This window comes from Homo sapiens, chromosome 18, assembly GCF_000001405.40.
Source record: "Homo sapiens chromosome 18, GRCh38.p14 Primary Assembly".
In the NCBI taxonomy this organism is placed as follows: Eukaryota; Metazoa; Chordata; class Mammalia; order Primates; family Hominidae; genus Homo; species Homo sapiens.
This window is the reverse complement of record NC_000018.10, coordinates 32,080,185-32,102,641: the sequence shown is the minus strand read 5'-3', so window position 1 is coordinate 32,102,641 and position 22,457 is coordinate 32,080,185. Positions and strand designations below refer to the sequence as shown.

Genomic DNA, 22,457 nt, shown 5'->3' with positions numbered 1-22,457 from the left:
AGAAAATCCCAAATTAACCTCCAAAATTACATGTGATAAATCAGGTGACAAACTGTACAATACAAACTCTTCAAATATTAATTGCATTACTACAGACTAGTGATATTATTAAAAACATTCATATAAGAAACTAAAAAAAAGGGCCAGGCACAGTGGCTCACGCCTGTAATCCCAGTACTTTGGGAGGCTGAGGCAGGCGGATCACGAGGTCAGGAGATTGAGACCATCCCAGCTAACATGGTGAAACCCCATCTCTACTAAAAATACAAAAAATTAGCCGGGCGTGGCGGCGGGCGCCTGTAGTCCCAGCTACTCGGGAGGCTGAGGCAGGAGAATGGTGTGAACCTGGGAGGTGGAGCTTGCAGTGAGCCGACATCGCGCCACTGCACTCCAGCCTGGGTGACAGAACAAGACTCCGTCTCAAAAAAAAAAAAAAAAAAAAAAAAGAAACTAAAAGAAGGTCAGGTGTGGTGGCTCACACCTGTAATACCAGCACTTTGGGAAGCCCTGGCCAGAGCATCACTTGAGTCCAGGAGTTTGAGGCCATTCTGGGTAACACAGCGAGACCTCCTCTCTACTGAAGAAAAAAAAAAAAAAATCAGCCAGGCATGGTGGTGCACGCCTGTAGTCCCAGCTACTTGGGAGGCTGAGGTGGGAGGATCGCTTAAGCCTAGGAGGTTGAGGCTGCAGTAAGCCGTGATTATGCCCCTGCACTCCAGCCTGGGCAACAGAGTTAGACCCTGTCTCAAACAAGCAAAAATGTAATATGGAAAAATGCATGCAGCCTTGCTAGCAACTAAAGAAATACATTTTAATGTGACTTCTAGACACCACTATGAACTGTATTAAAATAGCATAAAAATGCTTAAAAAAACAAAATTGGCAAAGATGATGGATTACAAATATACTTTTATAGTACTAATGGCATTTTGTAAATTAGCTCAATTTTTGGGAAAGCAACATGACATTTATGAAAATAGCAGTTAACACTTATTGCGTACATAATATGTGCTAGGTGCTAGGCTGGATCCCAGAAACTATCCATTCATGATCTTGAATTCTTAAAAAAAAATAAATTTTTCTTAATAAGTTCCTTCATTTTACAGATGAGGAAACTAAGGCTTAAAAAAATAAAATGTTAATAAACCTGTAAGAGTGAGGCAGGCAAATCACTTGAGGTCAGGAGTTCAAGACCAATCTGGCCAACATGGTGAAACCCTGACTCTAATTTAAAAATATATATATATACACAAAAATTAGCCAGGAGTGGTGGTGCACGCCTGTAATCCCAGCTACTCAGAAGACTGAGGTAGAAGAATGGCTTGAACCTAGGAGGCGGAGGTTACAGTGAGCCAAGACTGCGTGTGCCACTGCACTCCAGCCTGGACAACAGAGCCAGACTCTGTCTTTGAAAAAAAAAAAAAAAAGAAACCTATAAGAGGTTGAAGCCCAGAAGATGTTTCTGTCATTCAAATACAAAGCCCTGCATGTTCCCTCCTACCTCGGGACCTTTGTCCAGAATGTTTCTTCTCCCCAGAATGTTCTATGCACGAGCACAGCCCTCCACAAATTAATACCTATATCTCTCTTAGATATCAGCAACAATATCACTTCCTAAAGAAAGGGTCATCGATACTCACCCACTAGATCTGATCCCTCTCTTATACTCTCTCGAAACCTATACATTTGTAATTACACCATTTTTCTGAGCATTTATTTTAATTTAAATATATCTCAGGCCAGGCGCAGTGGCTCAGGCCTGTGATCCCAGCACTCTGGGAGGCCAAGGCGAGCAGATCGCTTGAGCTCAGGCATTCGAGACCAGCCCGGCCAACATGGTGAAACCCAGTCTATACAAAAAATACAGGCCGGGCGCGGGGGCTCACGCCTGTAATCCCAACACTTTGGTAGGCCGAGGTGGGTGGATCACCTGAGGTTGGGAGTTCGAGACCAGCCTGACCAACATGGTGAAACCCCCGTCTCTATTAAAAATACAAAATTAGCCAGGCCTGGTGGCGCATGCCTTTAATCCCAGCTACTTGGGAGGCTGAGGCAGGAAAATCGCTTAAACCCGGGAGACGGAGGTTGCAGTGAGCCGAGATCGCGCCATTGCACTCCAGCCTGGCCAACAAGAGCAAAACTCCGTCTCAAAAAAAAAAAAAAAAAAAAAAAAGTTAGTTGGGTGTGGTGGTGGCACATGCCTGTAGTCCCAGCTACTGGGAAGGCTAAAGGGGGATTACTTGAGCCCAGAGAGGTCAAGGCTGCAGTGAGCCATGATCATGCCACTGCACTCTAGCCTGGGCAACAGAGCAACAGAGAAAGACCCTGTCTCAAATATATATATAAAATAATAAAATAGAGGTATTCAGGTCTCTTATGTCCAATTTTACTGTTCCTTCCCCTGTACAACCAAAGATTTTATATATATATATATATATATCTCAATCACTAACACCCAGCTCCAAGAGGGCAGGGATCCTATCTATTTGCTCTTTACAATATCCCTGGCACCTAACAGTGCTAGGCACCTATTAGGCAGTCCTAATATTTGCTAAAGCAATGAATGCCAATTTACCTTAATTTAAAAAGTATTAAATCCCTTAACCAAAAGATATAATTGACAGTTCTCAAATCAAAACCTTGAGCACTTTCCATGAACAAGACACTTCACTAGAGCTGCAATTATTCTTGTGTGATGTATCAGAAATATTTGTTTGTATCTACCCTTTGACCCAGCAATTCCATTTGTCAGAATTTAGCTGGCAGGAAAAACTCTCATATGTGAAACGATATATTAGTAGGCTTAAGTAAGTAACAGGAGATCTTGGATGCTTTCTTTATAAAGCTTGCAGCCTAACCAGTGAAACTGACATTGGTCAAATTATCTGATTCCAAAAATGTTATGATTACAAACTGTGATAACAGGTACAAAGAATGGCCGGGTGCAGTGGCTCACACCTGTAATCCTAGCACTTTGGGAGGCCGAGGCGGGGCAGATCATTTGGGGTCAGGAGTTGGAGACCAGCCTGACCAACATGGTGCAACACCATCTCTACTAAAAATACAAAAAAATTAGCCGGGTATAGTGGTGCATGCCTGTAGTTCCAGCTACACGGGAGATTGGGGCAGGAGAATCTCTTGAACCCAATGGGTGGAGGTTGCGGTGAGCCAAGACTGCACCACTGCACTCCAGTCTGGGCAACAGAGCGAGATTTTGTCTAAAAATAAAATAAAATAGAGATATTCAGGTCTCTTATCTCCAATTTTACTGTTCCTTCCTCTGTACAACCAAGCATGTTTCTTCAGACATAAAACGAATTATTCTCATCTCACTTTGGGCTGGAATGGATCAAAGTGCTAGACAGAACTTATTTCAAAACAAAGCAGAAGTAGGAAGGAAAAAGGTACAAATCAAGAATTACTAAAACTAATTTTCATGTTCCTGAAAAGGCCCGTATCTTCAGAACAGGGCATTACCCTATAACCAAAAAAGGTCTCTTTACATTTCTCTCAACTTTAAACTAGCAGATGCTAGACGAATTTCCATTACGCATTCTCCCAACAAAAGGCTAATCAACAACACTGGGAGAGGAAAAACAATATTCCCACTCATCATGCTCCCAATTTCAGTATAAATTAAATAATTTAAAATCTGGCACTTAGTCTATCTATTTTCCGAGTCGATAATCGAGATCATTCCCCAAAAAAACTTCAAAAAAAAAAAAAATCAAAGGTTGTAAACTAGTCCTCAAGATTTAAAATTAAGTAAATCTTTTTTTTTTTTTTTTTGAAACGGAGTCTCACTCTGTCGCCCGGGCTGGAGTGCAGTGGCACCATCTCAGCTCACTGCAAGCTCCACCTCCCGGGTTCATGCCATTCTCCTGCCTCAGCCTCCCGAACAGCTGGGATTACAGGCGCCTGCCGCCACACCCGGCTAATTTTTTTGTATTTTTAGTAGAGACAGGGTTTCACTGTGTTAGCCAGGATGGTCTCGATCTCCTGACCTTGTGATCCGCCTGCCTCGGCCTCCCAAAGTGCTGGGATGACAGGCGTGAGCCACTGCGCCCGGCCTCAACCTTTATTATATAATTAAATAGCACAGATTTTAGGAAAGAAGAAAATTATTTTAAAGTATATACTTAGAGCATAACTACTCAAGTAACAAGATACCAATAAAGCTGTTAAAATTACAAAGCCAGGTGCTGTGGCACTCACCTGTAGTCCCCACTACTCAGGAGGCTCAGGTGGGAGGACTGCTTGAGACCAGGAGTTTGAGACCAGCCTGAGCAACAAAGCAAGACCCCATCTCTAAAAAATTTAAACTATAAGAAATATATTGTGGGCGCAGTGGCTCACACCTGTAATCCTAGCACTTTGGGAGGCCAAGGCAAGAGGATCACTTGAGGTCAGGAGTTCAAAACCAGCCTGGAGTTCAAAACCAGCCTGGCCAACATGGTAAAACCCTGTCTCTACTAAAAATACAAAAAATTAGCAGGGCGTGATGGTGCACGCCTGTAATCCCAACTACTTGGGAGGCTGAGGGAGTAGAATCGCTTGAACCAGGGAGGTGGGAGGTTGCAGTGAGCCAAGACCGCACCACTGCAATCCAGCCTGGGCAACACAGTGAGACTGTCTCAAAACAAACAAACAAACAAACAAAAATAACACACACACACACACACACACACACACACACATATATACATACACATATACACACACACACACAAATACACATACATACACATATACATACACATATATACATATATATAGCCCGAGCAACAGAGTGAGACCCTGTTTCTAAATTAATTAATTAGGCCGAGGATAGTGGCTCATGCCTATAATCCCAGCACTTTCGGAGGCCAAGGCGGGCAGATCACTTGAGCGCAGGGGTTCGAGACCAGCCTGGCCAATATAGTGAAACCTCATCTCTACTAAAAATACAAAAAAACAAAAAACAAAAATTAGCCGAGCATGGTGGTGCATGCCTGTAGTCCAGCTACTTGTTGTGCCTGTAGTCCCAGCTACTCAGGAGGACGAGGCAGGAGAATCGCTTAAATCCAGGAGGTGGAGGTTACAGTAAACCAAGATCCCACCACTGCACTCCAGCCTGGGCAACAGAGACTCGGTCTCAAAAATAAATAATTAATTTAAAATTGTTTTAAAATTAAGGATTAAAAAAAGTAAATATGAACTAAAAACTCAGGAACTGGATGTTCAAGCTGGTCAAATAGGAAATTACACAAATTTGTGCTTAACAAGAAGTAGAAGTTCATTTTAAAAGATGCCTCCTTACAGAGAGGCCTAAAAGCAAAAACAGATTAGATTTCCATTTTTAAGAGTTCAGCAAAGAATCAAACTTGTTATATGTAATTTTTATTGCAATAGTAGCTTACTTCTGCCATGTACAAGAATTATTTCCTTGACTGTTCAAAACAAGGAAGAACAGAGGTTTCCAAGAGCCTTTGAAGATTACAGAATAAAACACCAAAAGAGATAAACACCTTACTCCTACGCCAGTCTGTACTTTCTTCTGAAGCCTTGCTTTGACTACCTGCTCAACTTTCATATTAATTTGTCTTAACATGTTTTTCAAAATATTACATCTGCCAGGTGTGGAGGCTCTTGCCTGTAATCCCAGCACTTTGGGAGGCTGAGGCAGGAGGACGGTTTGCACCCAGGAGTTAGAGACTAGGTTGGGCAACAAAGCAAGACCCATCTCTACAAAAAAATTTTTTTTAATAGCCAGGCATGGTGGTGAGTGCCTGTAGTCCCAGCTAGCTACTTGGGAGGTTGAGGTGGGAAGATTTCTTGAGCCTGGGAGGTCGAGGCTGCAGTAAGCTATGATCATGCCACTGCACTCCTCGCAACAGAGCGAGACCCTATTTCAAAAAAAACAAAAACAAAAACAAAATTACATCTGACCACTCTAAGGCCTCTGAAAATGCTGACTGCTTCCTTAACAATCATTTGCAGATGATCTGAATCCTCAGTTTCCACTCTCACTTTATTCCTGGTTTTCTTCCTATCCTTCTGTTCGTTCCTTGTCTGGCTGCAATTTTCTCCACTCGATATTTAAGTAAGTATTCTCCAACACTTGGCTCTATCTAGGTGCTCTTCAATCTTTCCATTTATATACCTCACTCGGTGACCACTTCGACACCCACAGCTTTAGCTCCATGTATTCCAGATCTACATATGGTATACACACTTAACTACTGAACCCAGTCATCAAATCTTACACTGTCCTTAAAATGTCAGGAGTCTCTCTGCTCCATTCCTACTATCATTTCCTTAGTTCAGGTTCTAATCATTTCTCTCCCTGACACATCAATGAATGACCGACCTCTTCACTAGTCTCACCACTACCAAGCTGAAAACCCTGCTATGAAGGTAAACTTTCTAAAAATGAAATGTGACCACGCTGCTCCCCTGCCAAAAATTATTTACTAGGTCTAGTATTATTCATTAGGTTATCTAATTATTTAATAGGTTTTCAGGAAAACACTCAAATTAGCTTACACAGTAAGTTCCTGCCAATAACGCTAAGCTCCATCTCCACTACGCTGTCTTTGGCTCCAGCCAAACTTCAAAGTCCAGCTCACATTCATCCTCTGTACCCTCCTTGACTCTGGCATTCCCCACAAACACTGAATACAAACGCTGACCTAAGGCATTACTTCATCTAGGAAATTATCCCTATCCTTTAGGCTAATTTAGATACCTGCTCTAGATGCTCACATAAAATCTCTTCTATATCAATCACACTCATTTATAGGTCTCTCCAGCGGACTATTAAGTCTCCAGAGAAACAGTACTTAGTAGTCCCTGCACCAGACAAAGAGCATTCAACAACTGCAGTTTCAGGGAATGAATGGGGATTAAACGGGAGTTTATATTTTAGTAATGTTATTCTAATGATAATGAACTTGCTCCTTTTACTAGGATAGTCAGTAGTCAAATCCTTTCCTGTCATTGAAATGGCAATTAAAATTTTTCATTTTCTAACTGATCCACAGTAACCCAAAGCCCTTATCACTTCAACTCTCTATTCGTGAATCAAAAATTGATTTTGCAGCCAAATATAAATTTCTTTAAAGGCATAGGTCTGTCCTTTGTGAAGAAGGTAGAGCAAATGACATAGATAACTATGTTAATTAAAAAACAGGTCAGGTGCCATGCCTCACGCCTGTCATCCCAGCACTTTTGGAGGCCAAGACAGGAGGATGACTTCAGCCCAGGAGTTCAAGATCTGACTGGGCAACGTAGTGAGGCCCTGTCTCTATAAAAAAGAAAACAAAATTAGTCAGGCATGGAGGCATGCTCCTGTAGTCCCAGCAACTTGAGAGGCTGAGGCGGGAGGGTTGCTCCAACGGGGGAGGTCAAGGCTGCAATGAAACATGATCACACCACTGCACTCCACCCTGGACAACAGAATAAGACCATGTCTCAAAAAAAAACGATAATTTTTAAAATTTCTCTCCAATTCCCCCACTAAACTCCTTCCAACTGATTAAAATCCTGTTCCTCCATTACCACCTCTTCCAAATTAAACTTTTTTTCTCCCTCTGCCTATTCTTTTAATTCATTGTTCAGGCAGAACTGTCTACGTACAATAAGTTGATTTGAGAAAGGTCCTGAATTAAAAACAATCATCTCCAACATTTTCCACAGTCTTGAGGTCAAATCAAATTATAAACCTTGATTTAAAATGTCCCACAAGGGAAGCGGACTAGAGCAATCTACACGGAATTTTGGGGAGTGCTAAAAACTACAATGAGGCCCATTAGGTCAATGACCCAAAGGATAATTAGAATGATTCTATCCAAAAAAGACCTGCTTTATATATATATATATAGTTAGCAGCTATTACAACTTCCTCTCACCTTGCTCTCCTCCCTCCCTTTTATCTACCCAATGCCAACACAGCACTTAAATTTTTTTTAAATATTGGAAAGGGACCAAGTTATGCTAGATTAAAGGTGGAAGATCTATATTGTGCCCTAGACACCTCCAAACGTTTTTTTTTTCATGTCAGATGGGTAATGTGCTGACCCTGTAACAAGGTTTGAGGATGGCATATCTCACACATGCCTGTGAACACTCAATCATCACACTATGAACCGCAAAAGGATCCCTCAAAACATTTCCCTAAGAATCTGCATTTGTTGCACAAAATAACAAGATGTCATTCATCTCCCTTAAAGAGCAAAAGCGTAACTGGCATAATTTCTATCATGAAAATCCACACACTCTTGGCTCACACAACCAGCACAAAATAGAAATAAAGTAGACAGTGCAGTTAAGATTGGGGAAAAAATGAGAAGAGTTGGTATCAAGAAAACAGCCACAGTAAGGGCATTTGCAATTAAGAACCAAAAATTCAATCCATCCTTTACAAAATTATAGAACCTCACCTCAAAAAAAAAAGAAAAAAAAGTCGAAGGAGAATGAAATACATTTAGAAGGTTGGTCAATTCTTTTCAGTTGTTTGCAAACACACGTAACTTTCAAGCCTGAGTGTGTTTTTTAAAAATAAAGATTTCCGGGCGGGGCGCGGTGGCTCACGCCTTTAATCCCAGCACTTTGGGAGGCCGAGGCGGGAGGATCACGAGGTCAGGAGATCGAGACCATCCTTGCTAACACGGTGAAACCCCGTCTCTACTAAAAAAAAATACAATAAATAAATAAATAAAGATTTCCAGGCCCCACCTGCCCGAACATTCTTTTGTTAAGTTTGAAATGGAGCCTGGGAATTGGTATGTTTACTTAAAAAGTTCCCCGGGGACTCTGATCATCAGTCAGGTCTGTCAGAAGGGCTATACACCTTCTCAACAAGGGCTCTTTCCAACCCTTACTCACACCCTAGCTGTCCATAAAATTTTATCAAAGTTCTTGTAAATATGCCTGCCAATCAAACGCATGCGTTATCTCACCCAACCCCTTTGTGTTCTCCCCCACCCTGGGTAGCATCTCAATTTCGGCTCATTCCTCATAACAGAAGTCTTCCTTTCTCCTCTCCACCCTTGTATTAATCAAGTAATAAGTAAGCAGAAAGGTAAAACAAAGGGGAACGCTCATTTCAATGCCCGAAAATCCTGTCAGTTTTAAGAGACCAGAGAAGAAAACTCATTCTAGATCCCTCTAACACATAGTGGACTGGAAACGAAACAAAACGCTCTCGAGGGTGTTCTGTGAAGCAGGGTTGAGGGGAAGTTACAGAAGAGCTCTTGGACCGAGGGGACGGACCAAGGTTCTGAAAGAGGAAACTTGAAAGCAGGGCAGGTCGCGGGGCGAGCGGGCCCGCGCGAGCACCGCCGGCCGCTTTTGACACTCGACACCCCAGCCTTCACCCGGGTTGCTAAGAAACAAAAAGGCTCCAAGATCCCTGCAATTCCTCCCGGGCCTGGCGGAGACGACAGGGGCCTCCGGGGCCTGAAGACGCCGCAGGGAACGGCCTGGCCACTGCCCCGGGGGCGCGAAAGCCAGGGAGAGCGGGAGAGCGGGAGAGCGGGAGAGCGGGAGAGCGGGAGCTTGGGCTGAGGGGGCTGGACGCGGGGAGCGGGCCCCGAGGCTGAGGAAAAGGCCGCCCCGGGACTCTGAGGGGCGGGGAACGGGACCTCGCGGGGCAGCGACGCTCGGGCAGGCCGCGGCGGGCTCGGTTCCCGCCAGGCGGCAGCCCGGGGTCCCGGGCCGGAGGCCGGGCCTAAGCGACAACCCGGCTCCGCGAGGGGGAGGGGGCGTCTACTCACACGTGCTGACAGGCCGTGGTCCGCACGGGCGTTTTGAGCACCTCCTGACAGACGGGGCAGTAGAAATCATCTTCGGTGTAGGACGTGGCCGCAGAGAGGTCCTCGGCCATGGCGGGGGATGGGGAAACAAGGCGATGGCGACAGCGGCAGCGGCCGAGGTGACGGTGGCGGCCCGGGGCCCGACTCCCTACATGAACCCGGAGGGGGGAGGGGGATCGCATCAGGATACAGCGCGCGCCAGGAAGGGGGCGGGGCCCTGGGTAGGGCGGGGCCGAACGCAGAGACGCTACTGCCGCACGCGCCGGGCAAGAGGCGACCCCTCCCACGGCTCCTCCCACAGGGGGCTGGATGGGGGACGGTGCTTGGCGGGAGGCTGGGCTCGCAGCATGCCGTGGGCCCGCCCCGCTCGCCCCTCACCCCGCCCCAGGACGCGGCCTCACGCTCTAGGCCACGCCCTCACCGGGCTCCAGGCGCGGGCTCGCGCCCCGCCCTCAGCCCCCGTCTTCGCCCAAGGCCTCCCTTTTCACTGCTTTTCCGCCTCTACTCACCCCGACCCCGAGCCCCGAGTGCCCAGCCCGTGTCCGCGGCTTCCTCCCCGCCCCGCTTCCCGGCACCCCGGCCCCTCCACGCTTCCGCCGGGGAGACTCTCACCTAGGAGCCCCGAAGCGGCGTTGTGGACGGAGCTGCTTTTCCTTCACGTGTTCGTAGAGACCCGGCCCAGCGCTTTCCTCGAGCTTCCTGTCCGGCCGCCGCTATCTTCGCAGCCGAGGCCCCGGGGCAAATGGAGGGCGGCGTGCGCTGTGCTTATCGGCCCCTAACGGGGCCGGAGCCGAGGCTCATGGTGCAGGGAGATTCGCCCGCCGCCGCCAGCAGCTCTGTCTTGGCATTGCGCTGCCTACAGCCTACCCGGCCGTCACCGAACGCGGGAGCGCCGGGGATCTGGGCGGAGGAGCCAGGAGAGGCGGGGAGGCACGGGGTGTGAAGTGCGGCCTGTATAGCAACCGGCGCACGGCGCCTTCCGCGGGTTGTGACGTAAGCAGCTGGGCGCCCGCGGTGACACCTGCGCCTCCCCGCCCCGCCTCGCTAGGCCCGGGACCCCAGTTACCTCTCCTGTCAAATACATTGGGCCTTTCAGGAAGTTTTCGTCAATGTTCAAGATTTAGTCTTTACTATTTGCCCTACCAGAATGTTTTGATCTTGTCAAGATGTGTTATAAACAAATATTTGTTACGGGATTTTAATCCTTTGGGGGCAGGATTAAAGTTTCCTTGAGAGGATGTCCACTTTCTCCTTTAACAGCATGACCGATGCTTAAATACGGTCGCAGATGCAGTCTTCTACTACACCTTTGGGTTGATTTTTGATTTTTTCTTTTTTTTTTTAGCTTTGAAGAGAAATGCCGTAGAAGCATGGACGTGGCTTTTCACCAAGGTTATTCACTAATTTAAGTGTTTTTTTTAATTTTATTTTATTTTATTTTATTTTTTGAGACAGGTACTCACTCTGTCTCCCAGGCCGGAGTGCAATTATCTGTACAATTGATAATCTATAAGATGGTCCAACCTGCGTAACAGAGTGAGATTCCGTCTCAAAAAAAAAAAAAAAAAAGAAAGAAAAAAGGCCGGGCGCGGTGGCTCACACCTGTAATCCCAGCCCTTTGGTAAGCGAAGGCGGTTGGATCACTTGAGGTCAGGAGTTCAAGACCAGCCTGGCCAACGTGATGAAATCCCATCTCTACTAAAAATACAAAAATTAACCGGACATGGTGGTGGGAGCCTGTAATCCCAGGTACTCGGGAGGCTGAGGCACGAGAATCGCTTGTACCCGGGAGGCAGAGGTTGCAGTGAGCCGCGATCGCGCCGCTGCACTCCAGCCCTGGCGACAGAGTGAGACTCTCAAAAAAAAAGAAGAACAAAAAAAGGATAAATCGATAAGATGGGATCCACAATGACGTGAAAGAAGCTAAGGAAAATCTGGAACATTATACAGCATCTACAATTAGCTTCAGAGAAAAGAAAGGTTTTATTACCATCCTTTGTTAAAACCCTCCCCCATGGTCTAAATGAATAAACAGAAGCCATTTAAGGGACTATTTAAATCAATTCTGCCATTTATTGTCTATGTTGACATTGGCATTGTTAGGTGTTATGCAGATGTCATGAACTTTGCTCTCAACCTGTTTACATTATTACATATCTATCAGAATGAGAGAGAAAAAATGGTATTTGCCAAAGTATTAAATTTTGCATTAAACGATGGCTATAATGAGGATAGGAAATGGAATGATTAGAAATATATAGAGTTAACAGAAAACTTTATGGAGGAAATGGGTTTTAATGTACATCTCAAAAGCATTGATTCCTAGAATAATAATAATTTGTCCAATGAATAGCTAATTCCCTCTACCAAACTATATTTTGTATTTTTGTTGCTTTTCCTCCTTAGCAGCAAGCGCAGTGGAAGCAAGACAAGAAAGCTAATACTAGCTTCAGATTTCCTGGAAGGAGGAAGAGCACGTGACGAGAGGGGCAGCTAATAGCAGTAGTTCAGGTGCTTTTCACATTCACTTATAAAATGGTTCTTTGAGTTCAAATTTTTAACAGCCCAGAGAAGAAAACTCACTTTTTTTCTTTTTTCTTTTGAGACAGAATCTCACTCTGTCACCCAGGCTGGGGTGCAGTGGAATGATCTCAGCTCACTTCAACCTGCGCCTTCCAGGTTGAAGCAACTCTCCTGCCTCAGCCTCCCAAGTAGCTGAGATTACAGGCATGCACCACCATGCCAAACTAATTTTTGCATTTTTAGTAGAGACAGGGTTTTGCCATGTTGGCCAGGCTAGTCTCGAACTCCTGGCCTCCAGCGATCCGCCCACCTTGGCCTCCCAAAGTGCTGGAATTACAGGCCTGAGCCACTGTGCCTGGCCTACATTTTACTTTTTTGATAATTCCACTCATTTCATTCATTCTGACCATTTAGGAAGTAAGGTGTATTTTCTGTATAATAGTGTTTCCCATTATTCATTGGGAATATCTAACCATAACATTAATTTTGTGACCCTAATTTTATTTGCTTCATTCTTTCTCTGCAACGGCAGCTTTACTTATGTCTAATCCAAACATATTTGTATCACTCCCCCATATATTCTAATAAGTCATTCGGTATACACGTAAGCATATAGCTGGCAATATGTGGAAATCCAGCAAAAACTTGGACATAAGAAAAATATAGATACCCTTGGAAAGTTAAGCTTAAAAAAATAAGTTGCAATTACCAATGACACAATCTTCTTTCTTGGCAACATTTCTGGTGAAAAGCTACTTGATATTTTTATAAGAATGTCATAGATTTACTCAAAATACATTCAGCTGCGTAAATAAAATGTCCTCAGCCTTTGGTCATTAGAAGGGAAAACCCTAGATGTAGACCGATTTGGTAAACTGTGCTGCAATAATTTAAACAGTTCCTTTAAGTTTGGGTTAAACCAGTCAGTCCCTCTCAGTGGGCTTCCCTCAGAATGGCATTTGGGAGAAGGGAAGGGAGGATGATGGGTAGCTGACATGAACTCAAGGCACTATAGGGGAATCTGGCTCCTGAAATCTGCAAGTTCTCTTTTGCATTTTTGCCGGATTTTCTTTAGCCAGACTAATTTTCTCTGCTCCTTGAGATGTAATGTGTCCTGGGTGTTCTCTTGCTGAAACTTGCTGATGAAGATTGCTCGGACCTGTCTCTCAGCTGGGCCAAGGCCCTGAGATATGTCCTAGCTTCACCAACACTGTAAAACCTTCTGATTCCTGCCACGATCACCTTCCAATTCCTTAACCCTCAACATGGCAGGCTCCTTAGCAGGCTCTCTGGCTCTCAACACAACTACTGTCTATGACATCCTTTGTGGTTCTCCCTCTGGTTCTGAACAGCCTGTAAGGCCATGTGCTTCCAGGGCACACACTCCAACCCATCTAAACCACCTTTCCCCCCCAGAATGAAGCCCCTACTTTGTTTCTTCTCCTACAGTCTCTTGGATTAGAAGGAATGGACTTTTCCCCTTGCCACTTCTTGCTGATTGGGTGCTCTAAAACTCTCCAGTCAAGACCAGGCGTGGTGGATCATGCTCCTAATCCCAGCACTCTGGGAGGCCGAGGCAGGCAGATCACTTGAGGTCAGGAGTTCGTGACCAGCCTGGACAACATGGCGAAACCTGTCTCTACTAAAATACAAAAATTAACCGGGCATGGTATGCATGCCTATAGTCCCAGCTACTCCAGAGGCTGAGGCAGAAGAGTGGCTTGAACCCAGGAGGCAGAAGTTGCAGTGAGCTGAGATGGCACCACTGCTCTCCAGCCTGGGTGACAGAGCGGGACTCTGTCTCAAAAAATAAAAAATCAAAATAAGTAAATAAAACTCTCCAGTCAAGTTCGATGGATCTTGATATGCAAAAGAGAAAAATAAAATAATTTAGAATACTGATTTCTTGACAAGGCCTGGCTTTATCTTACTACAAACCTTCAAAATCCTGTTTTGCTGGTAAAAGTGATTGCCTTTGAAGAAGTGAACTGGGAAGCTGGAGGATGGAACAGGAGAGAGGCTCATGTTTCACTCTCTACCCTTTGGTATCTTTGTAAATTGCTACCATGTGCAGTGTTGACACTCAGCTGGTTTGTACCAGTACCATTTTCCTAGTCTTTTTCAGCCTTGTCCATCCTGACTGGTGAGTAGTCTGTCCTGAATGACCAGTGCCAATTTGGTTCCAGTTGCTAAATATTTTTATTTTAGCAAATATTAGCTAAATATTACTCTTGACTATGTACATACACAACTGTTCCATGAAAGGGCTATATATGCAAAGTGACTCTCAAATGCAGAAGAAGCCAAAAATCCAAAGAAGAGGCAAACAAATCCAGTTTGCTGGTAGCAGGTGATTTACTGGGGAACTTGTGGATGGAAGTGTGGTCTTGGGCAGCAGCAAGACAGGTGGATCTTCGTATTGTTATCCTGCAGACCATAAGGAAAGGGTATACATAATGTGCAGGAAAATTAAAGTTCACCCCTGAGGGAAAGACAAGAATACTATGTGCATTACAGCCTATAATTTGCTTAAGGGCAGGATTTATGATTAAGACCATGCTCTTTTTACACAAGGAATCATAAAGAAGAACTCTTAGGGGCATTCCTGGAACTGGGGTTAATCAGAAGTCAACCTAGCATGTTAACATCCATGATGGAGTTCTTTAACCTCCACAATAACCAATTGTGTAGGGAAAACTCTAACCATATTTTACCTTTACTCTCACGCACCACAACAATCAACACAGAAGAAGACTTCTGTGAACAAATATGTGGGGGGTTTTCCCCATGCACCAAGCAGCAGACAGCAAATGGGTGTCCTCTAATTCAGTTCCTACCTACCCAGAGACAGTGTCAGATCCCACAGGTTGGGGGCCCAGTTCCCAAGACTGGCTTCCATACCCCCAGACACCACTTACAAGTCCGGGCCTCCAGAACTTCCGACCAACCAGCTTCAAGTTGCGGTTCCCATAGCCCACTCTTTGGGTTTCATTAATTTGCTGGAGCAGTGCACAGAACTCAGAGAAACATGATTACTGGTGTATTATAAAGGATATTGCTCCAGCAAATTAATGAAACCGAAAGAGTGGGCTCTGGGAACCGCAACTTGAAGCTGAAGCAGCACACAGAACTCAGAGAAACACGATTACTGGTATATTATAAAGGATATTGCAAAAGATACAGATGACGAGACGCATAGGGTAAGGTATGGGGGAAGAGGTGCAGAGCTTCCAAGCCTTCCCTAGATTGGCCGTTTCCTCTTACCAGTGGTTTAAGCATGAGTGTGTATGTGACTCAGTTATGACCAAAAGGCTGTGAAGGGAATTATTATGAGGGGCATCAGCAAGCACTTTTCTTTGATGATCAAAGACAAGGCCAGGCATGGTGGCTCATTCCTGTAATTCCAGCACTTTGGGAGGCTGAGGTACAAGGATAGCTTGAGGTCAGGAATTTGAGACCAGCCTGGACAACATAGTGGGACCCTGTCTCTACAAAAACATTTTAGAGGCCAGGCATGGTGGCTCATACCTGAAATCCCAACACTTTGGGAGGCCGAGGCAGGCAGATCACCTGAGGTCGGGAGTTCGAGACCAGCCTGACCAACACGGAGAAACCTGCCTCTACTAAAAATACAAAATTAGCTGGGTGTGGTGGCAGGAGCCTGTAATCCCAGCTACTTAGGAGGCTGAGGCAGGAGAATCACTTGAACCTGGGAGGCAGAGGTTGCGATGCGCTGAGATCATGCCATTGCACTCCAGCCTGGGCAACAAGAGCAAAACTCCATCTTAAAAAAAAAAAATTAGAAATTAGCATGGTGTGGTGGCTCACACGTGTAATCCCAGCTACTCGGGAGACTGAGTTAGGAAGACTGGTTGAGCCTGGGAGGTCAAGGCTGCAGTGAGCCATGATCACTCCACTGCACTCCAGCCTGAACAACAGAGAACCTGTCTCAGAAAAAAAAAAAAAAAACACAAATATCTAGGTGCAGTGGTGTGCACCTATAGTCCCAGCTATTCGAGAGGCTGAGGCAGGAGGATTGCTTGAGCCCAGGAGTCCTACCTAAGCAACACAGCAAGAGCTTGTCTCTTAAAAAAAAAAAAAAAAGACAAATCTACTCCCCCATCTAGATGTTTCTTTGTCTATATGTGCTACGTGGAACTACAAGCAGGATGAAACCATGTAAAGAGCCAGCCGTGAAAAGAAAAGCCAATGTGCTGAAGGTGGTAAAGCTGAAAGATGGAAAGAATATATAGGTTCTTGATATATTAATATTTGAATTATTCAATTACTCTAGTCAACCCTGAAACTGCCCTCCCTCCTATCTGTTAATCAAGATTAATTAAACACCTTCTAGTTTGAGCCATTCTCAGTGGGTTCTTTGGTTATTTGTAGTTGGAAGTATCTGACCTAGGCATTTGCCTTTCTGCATCTCTTTCCCTGTTCTGCCCTTGTTGTTCTGCTCTTTTTGTTGGAGCTGACTCTTATAAACTGTTTCCCAGTTTCCCTTACCAGCTGACTTCTGGCTATATTCAGCCAATACGAGGCACCAATGAGAGATCAGGAAGGAAGGAAGAACGAAACCAAGTTACTTCTCTCTCTCTTTTTTTTTTTTTTTTTTTTTTTTGATAAGTCGTTTCACTCTTGTTGCCCAACCTGGAGTACAATGGTGCAGTCTTGGCTCACTGCAACCTCCACCCCCAGGTTCAAGCGATTCTCCTGCCTCAGCCTCCCAAGTAGCTGAGATTACAGGCACCCGCCGCCACACCCGGCTAATTTTTTGTATTTTTAGTAGAAATGGGCTTTCACCATGTTGGTCAGGCTGGTCTCAAACTCCAGACCTCAGGTGATCCTCCCACCTTGGCCTCTTAAAGTGCTGGGATTACAGGTGTGAGCCCCCTCACCCAGCTTTCTCTCTCTCTCTCTCTCTCTCTCTCTCTCTCTCTCTCTCTCTGCTTCTGGCAGTGGTTTCATTTCTTCTGCGGTTTTGGCTTCTGTGAGGCTGCACTTTCTTTGGTCCTGCTTCCTGCTGGGCAGGCCCTTCCTTTTCTCAATGCCTTGTGTATTTGCTTCACTGTCAACTTGGCCTTTCTGCTCTTTTAATGTCTTTGTAATTAGTTTCCCATATTAATCATCCTCTACTGAACCACCCTTGCAAGCTCCGCTTTCCTGATTGGCCCCTGTCCCAGTTTCCTAGCTGAATCAACAGTTCAGAAGGAGAGGAGAGGCAAGTGACAAAGAAATGCCGCAAAGTGGTTCTTCCTTCCCAAAGACAAGGAACTGGGTTACTTTTCATTGTAAGCTTAAATTCTCTCCTCACACCTCTGCAAAGTAGCTGAAATGGAAGTTCAAAAGTGAGATTAAATTAACTATAGAAAATGAAGGAATTTATCTTTTGAATTCACCCCAGTTTGAGACAGTTACATTTCAACTTCTTCATAAATGTCATTATGAACATGAATTTTCATGACATTTAATTTCATATCATCCATATTTTATGTATTATTATACAGCTTCCATTTTTAACAATGTTCATATGAGTAGCCCCGGTGACCCTGTTTATCCTGTGGAATCTGGCCTCTATGTTACAGTTGATTAGGATAGAGGTGAATATAATCCCAGCTTGTGATAGCCACACTGTGTCTCCCAAAACTGTGGAACTGAGATTCTGATATTCTAGTCAGTCTCTATCAAATCCCTTAATTTGGAAGGCATGTTAACACAGGAGCTGTGGGGCAGCCACCTTCTCCCTTGCCCAAACACACAAATCAGTCAGTAGAAAGAGAGCAAACCAACAATGAAACAGATATTCGGAATGCAGCTAAAGTCACTTCACTGAATAAACTATGCTGTCCTAGGAGGCAGAGCCCTAGAGTAGACCAGTAATGATGAATAGATTTCAACAAATCAACTCACATTTCAACTTTTCTTTGACACTGTTCTTGTTTTTTTGTTTGTTTGTTTGTTTGTTTGGAGACATAGTCTTGCTCTATCCCACAGGCGGGAATGCAGTGGCACTATCTCGGCTCACTGCAACCTCCGTCTCCTGGGTTCAAGCGATTCCCCTGCCTCAGCCTCCCAAGTAGCTGCGATTACAGGCATGCGCCACCAAGCCTGGCTAATTTTTGTATTTTTGTAGAGATGGGGTTTCAGCAAGTCGGCTAGGCTGGTCTCAAACTCCTGACCTCAGGTGATCCACCTGCGTCGGCCTCCCAAAGTGCTGGGATTACAGGTGTAAGCCACCGCACCTGGTCAGTTGTTTTTTAATCTTTGAGAGAAACATTTAAATTTGAAGCTAAAAGATCTTTCTCCATTTCTCTCTCGCTCTTCTCTCCCTTTCTCCCTTTCTTTTTCTTACCTTTTCTCCCTCCCTCTTTCCTTTTTTTCCCTTTTTGTTTTTCCTTTACTCCACATTTTTTTTTTCGAGACAGGGTCTCGCCTCTGTTGCCCGGGCTGTAGTACAGTGGCACAATCATAGCTCACTGCAGCTTCAAACTCCCAGGCTCAGTCAATCCTCCTGCCTCTGCCTCCTGAGTAGTGAGAACCATAGGCACACACCACCACACTCAGCTAATTTTTGTAGAGATGGGGTTTGGCCATGTTACCCAGGCTGGTTTCAAACTTCTGAGCTCAAGCAATCTGCCTACCTAGGCCTCCCAAAGTGCTGGGATTACAGGCATGAGCCACCGCACCTGACCTACTCCACATTTATTAACATCCTCTGGGCATTGTTCTGCCCCGGCTTCCTCGCCAGGACAGAGGAAACTATAACAAGATTAGTTCCAGTATCACACTGGAGGCAAAAGCCTGACACCAATTTTAAAAAGCAAACAAAGCCTACATTTTAGGGAAACAGAAGAACCCTCCAGCCCACATATAAGCCCTTCTTTCTATACATGAAGTTCAATAATTCCAGCCTTACCCCTTAATATATAGGCATTTATTATTTTCTCGAAAGGAGGTAATCCAAAGTCCCTTCTAGCAGCAATGTCACAATGTCATGAGACCACTATTTTTCCAGTTCAGTATTGCCAAATGATTTACCTTTCCCTTTACTTGGGTCTTAATCTGGTCCAATTTTGAGATCTCATGATACTGCAACCTTAGACCAAATAAGAAATGTAATTCCTATCAACCACCTGTTATGTACCACAATGGAGAGCAAATACAACTACAATGAAAACTTCCATTTAGAACATGGAAAAAGGGGAAGAAACACAGGACATGTACCATCTGTTGCTGGACAGAATTAATAAAGTAAAGCAGAGAACCACAGCATCTCATGGGCATCATTTGGTTGACTTTGCAACAGTGAGAGCTCTATTGCCAACAAATCTAGCTTCTCTGATATTGCCTTCTGGGATCATTTCTATTGTCAAGGGAGCATCTGAAAGGACATTAGAGGAGACTACCCTGTTTGGGGAGAGAGGATGGGTATATCTCACAATTCACTTTTTGTTAAAGGTATTGGAGTCCACAAATGCCCTGAGGACCTTAGGGTCTCCAAGGAACTGGGACATTGGTTTCAATGAATCACAGTCCTGTTATACGAATTGTGTTTTTCCAGTGCTATAATTCTAATAAAAACTTAGTCACCTGTCCATCATTTTCATTATAGGGGAAATTCCTAAAAGCAAACACCAAAAATGTCAGGTCAGCAGGGCTGCTAAATTGAAGAGCCAAGGCTGGCCTACACACATAGAGTTTCCGTTCCTTAGCAGCAACTCTGGGGGCGATGTATATCCCAGTACACTCTGTTTGACAAACTTTATATCAGGACAGCGTGAAGACGACTACCTGGGCTGGCAGAGAGGTCTTCTCTATTCCCTAAAATATTGCCTGGTGATCTGAATTCACAGCATCCTGAATCTACGCTCCCAGGTTGCAGATCTCAAACTTGGCCCAAATAAACTCTCTACTTATATTTAAACATACATATAATATAAATACAAATATAATATATATGATGTGTGTCCATGTATATATATGTGTGTGTGTGTGTTTGTGTGTGTATATACATATACCAGTCCAATGTATTTTGTGCAGGTAGTGACATCTTATTTGATTTGCCAGGAGAGAAGCCAGTGTGAGGTTTTGTTTTCCTATTTGATTTGCCAGGAGGGAAGCCAGTGTAATGTACTGAATACCAGTCCAATGTATTTTGTACTGATAGTGACATCCTATTTGATTTGCCAGGAGGGAAGCCAGTGTGAGGTTCTCTAATGTAGCTCAGGGAGCCAAGATTCCCCAAACCCTCCATTCCATTCATTCCTTCCCACTCCGGTTGCCAGGATCTCAAACTTTCCCACTCAGCATTTCAAACTTACATACAGAAAAGGAAGTGAATCAAAGAACTTGACTCCTGTACCTCAGTCCATCAAATGATTACTTTCTTCATTTGGACCTCCACATTCTCAATTCCCAACTTCCTTTTTTCTACTCACATCCAGAAAAATCTCCATGGAAGAATGTAAATTTCTGGTTGTACCTTATTGAAAGTGCTCAGGAAAAATCAACACAATCTGATTTATCAGTCTGGGTCTAATCATGAGAGAGAAACCACACAATAATTTGAACAGAGAAAGTTTAATATTAAAAATTTTAAATTATAATAGATTTTATAGGTTGAATTGTATCCTTTTCTCTCCCCAATTCCTATGTTTAAGTTCTAACCCCAGTACCTTAGAATGTGACTCTTTTTGGAGGTATGGCTTTTAAAAAGTAATTAAGTTAAAATGGGGGTGATACTAACTATAACTTGTAACTCAGTAAATATCTAAGAGATGGTACAATCACTGCAAATGGTGGGGGAAACAAGCAAACAATGTTCTGTGCTTTAAGCTTCATCCAAAGTCTGGAGAGAGACCAGTGGGTGAAAAAAATAGCAACAGAGAGTAAAGTTGTTGTCTCTATATTTAAATACTTCATTTTTGAAACCCCAAGAGCTTTGCCAGTAAGATGACATTTCTTCTTTCCTAAATTTCACTGACAATTATAATTTCCTAAACTGGGTGTCATAGAACTATATATACACCATGGTATTTGCTTAAAATTTTTTGTTTGTTGTTTTTTTCTTTGTGTTTAAAAACACACAACATGAAATTTACCATTCTGACCTTTTTTTTTTTTTTTTTCAGATGTAGTCTCACTCTGTTGCCTAGGATGGAGTCCAGTGGCGAGATCTTGGCTCACTGCAACCTCTGCCTCCCGGATGCAAGCGATTCTCCTGCCTCAGCTTCCTGAGTAGCTGGGATTATAGGCTTACAGACCTGCGCCATCACACTCGGTTAATGATTGTATTTTTAGTAGACACGGGGTTTCACCATGTTGGGTCAGGCTAGTTTCAAACTCCTGACCTCGTGATCCGCCTGCCTCAGCCTCCCAAAGTGCTCGGATTACAGGCGTAAACCACCGCGCCCAGCCCATTCTGACCCTATTTTTTTTGCCTTTTTGAGACGCAGTCTCGCACAGTCCCCCAGGCTAGAGTGCAGTGGCGCCATCTTGGCTCACTGCAAGCTCCGCCTCCCGGGTTCACGCCATTCTCCCGAGTAGCTGGGACTACAGGCGTCCGCCATCACGCCCAGCTAATTTTTTGTATTTTTAGTAGAGACGAGGTTTCATGACTTTTAAGTGTATAAGACAGTAGCGTTATCTATAGTCACCTTGTTACGCAACAGATCTCTAAAACGTTTTATCTTGCAGAACTGAAACTCCATACCCATGAACAACAACTCCCCTTTTCTACTTTCAACTACCATTCTAAGAGTTTGATCACTTTATTAAGTTTTTTAAATTAGAAAGTTACAGTTTCTCTCTTTAAGGTAGTTTTAAAACCAGCATGCCTCAAGGCGGAAATTTCTGGAGGACACATCCTTGAAATACTGTCAAAGGACAGTATGATTTTGTTATAAGACTTTGACCTTCTTGCATACATTAGTAAGAGTGTTTCAAAGGCACAAAGTGAAATACCCTTAGAGGTATATCAAAACATAGTGGATAGGCCGGACGTGGTGGCTCACACTTGTAATCCTAGCATTTTGAGAGGCCGAGGTGGGCAGATCACCTGAGGTCAGGAGTTTGAGACCAGCCTGGCCAACATGGTGAAACCCTGTCTCTACTAAAAATACAAAAATTAGCTGGGCG

General features: G+C 44.3%; 2 protein-coding genes, 1 long non-coding RNA gene and 1 other non-coding gene across 10 annotated transcripts in view, besides 3 other annotated features; 1 reads left to right on the top strand and 3 right to left on the bottom strand.

The window, feature by feature from the left end:
• The window catches only part of RNF138 (ring finger protein 138), a 39,688-nt gene extending 28,920 nt beyond the window's left edge, over positions 1–10,768 (bottom strand). For 3 of the 6 annotated variants that reach the window (XR_935225.3, NM_016271.5, XM_005258286.3), the window contains exons 1-2: positions 10,407–10,768; positions 9,756–9,942 (exon numbers count right to left, since the gene is read on the bottom strand). Coding sequence is in view for 4 of the 6 variants with exons in the window: in NM_016271.5 (NP_057355.2) it covers positions 9,756–9,865 (110 nt within the window). In the remaining 2 variants the exon portion in view is untranslated. Of the gene's footprint in view, positions 1–9,755; positions 9,955–10,406 lie in introns of those variants that run through there. The other 3 variants (NM_001191324.2, NM_198128.3, XM_005258285.2) reach the window with 2 other exon arrangements.
• LOC124904366 (small nucleolar RNA U13) lies at positions 8,036–8,138 on the bottom strand. Its single transcript, XR_007066484.1, has one exon. It is a non-coding gene; the product is annotated as a small nucleolar RNA U13 (small nucleolar RNA).
• Positions 9,930–10,349: a silencer, noted in NCBI's record as "silent region_9388". NCBI's record gives its function as "represses an Ori minimal core promoter by ATAC-STARR-seq in GM12878 lymphoblastoid cells {active_cell/tissue: GM12878}" and the evidence as "EXISTENCE:reporter gene assay evidence [ECO:0000049][PMID:35858748]".
• LOC124904278 (uncharacterized) lies at positions 10,697–11,367 on the top strand. The gene is made up of 2 exons (XR_007066327.1): positions 10,697–10,787; positions 11,140–11,367. It is a non-coding gene; the product is annotated as an uncharacterized LOC124904278 (long non-coding RNA).
• Positions 11,020–11,069: an enhancer, noted in NCBI's record as "active region_13211". NCBI's record gives its function as "activates an Ori minimal core promoter by ATAC-STARR-seq in GM12878 lymphoblastoid cells {active_cell/tissue: GM12878}" and the evidence as "EXISTENCE:reporter gene assay evidence [ECO:0000049][PMID:35858748]".
• RNF125 (ring finger protein 125) overlaps positions 11,836–22,457 on the bottom strand; it is a 71,982-nt gene continuing 61,360 nt past the window's right edge. For both annotated transcript variants that reach the window (NM_001436860.1, NM_001436861.1), the window contains one exon: positions 11,836–14,744. In NM_001436860.1, coding sequence (NP_001423789.1) covers positions 14,673–14,744 — 72 coding nt within the window. In that variant the 3' untranslated portion in view covers positions 11,836–14,672. The remainder of the gene's footprint in view (positions 14,745–22,457) is intronic.
• Positions 17,261–17,390: an enhancer, noted in NCBI's record as "active region_13210". NCBI's record gives its function as "activates an Ori minimal core promoter by ATAC-STARR-seq in GM12878 lymphoblastoid cells {active_cell/tissue: GM12878}" and the evidence as "EXISTENCE:reporter gene assay evidence [ECO:0000049][PMID:35858748]".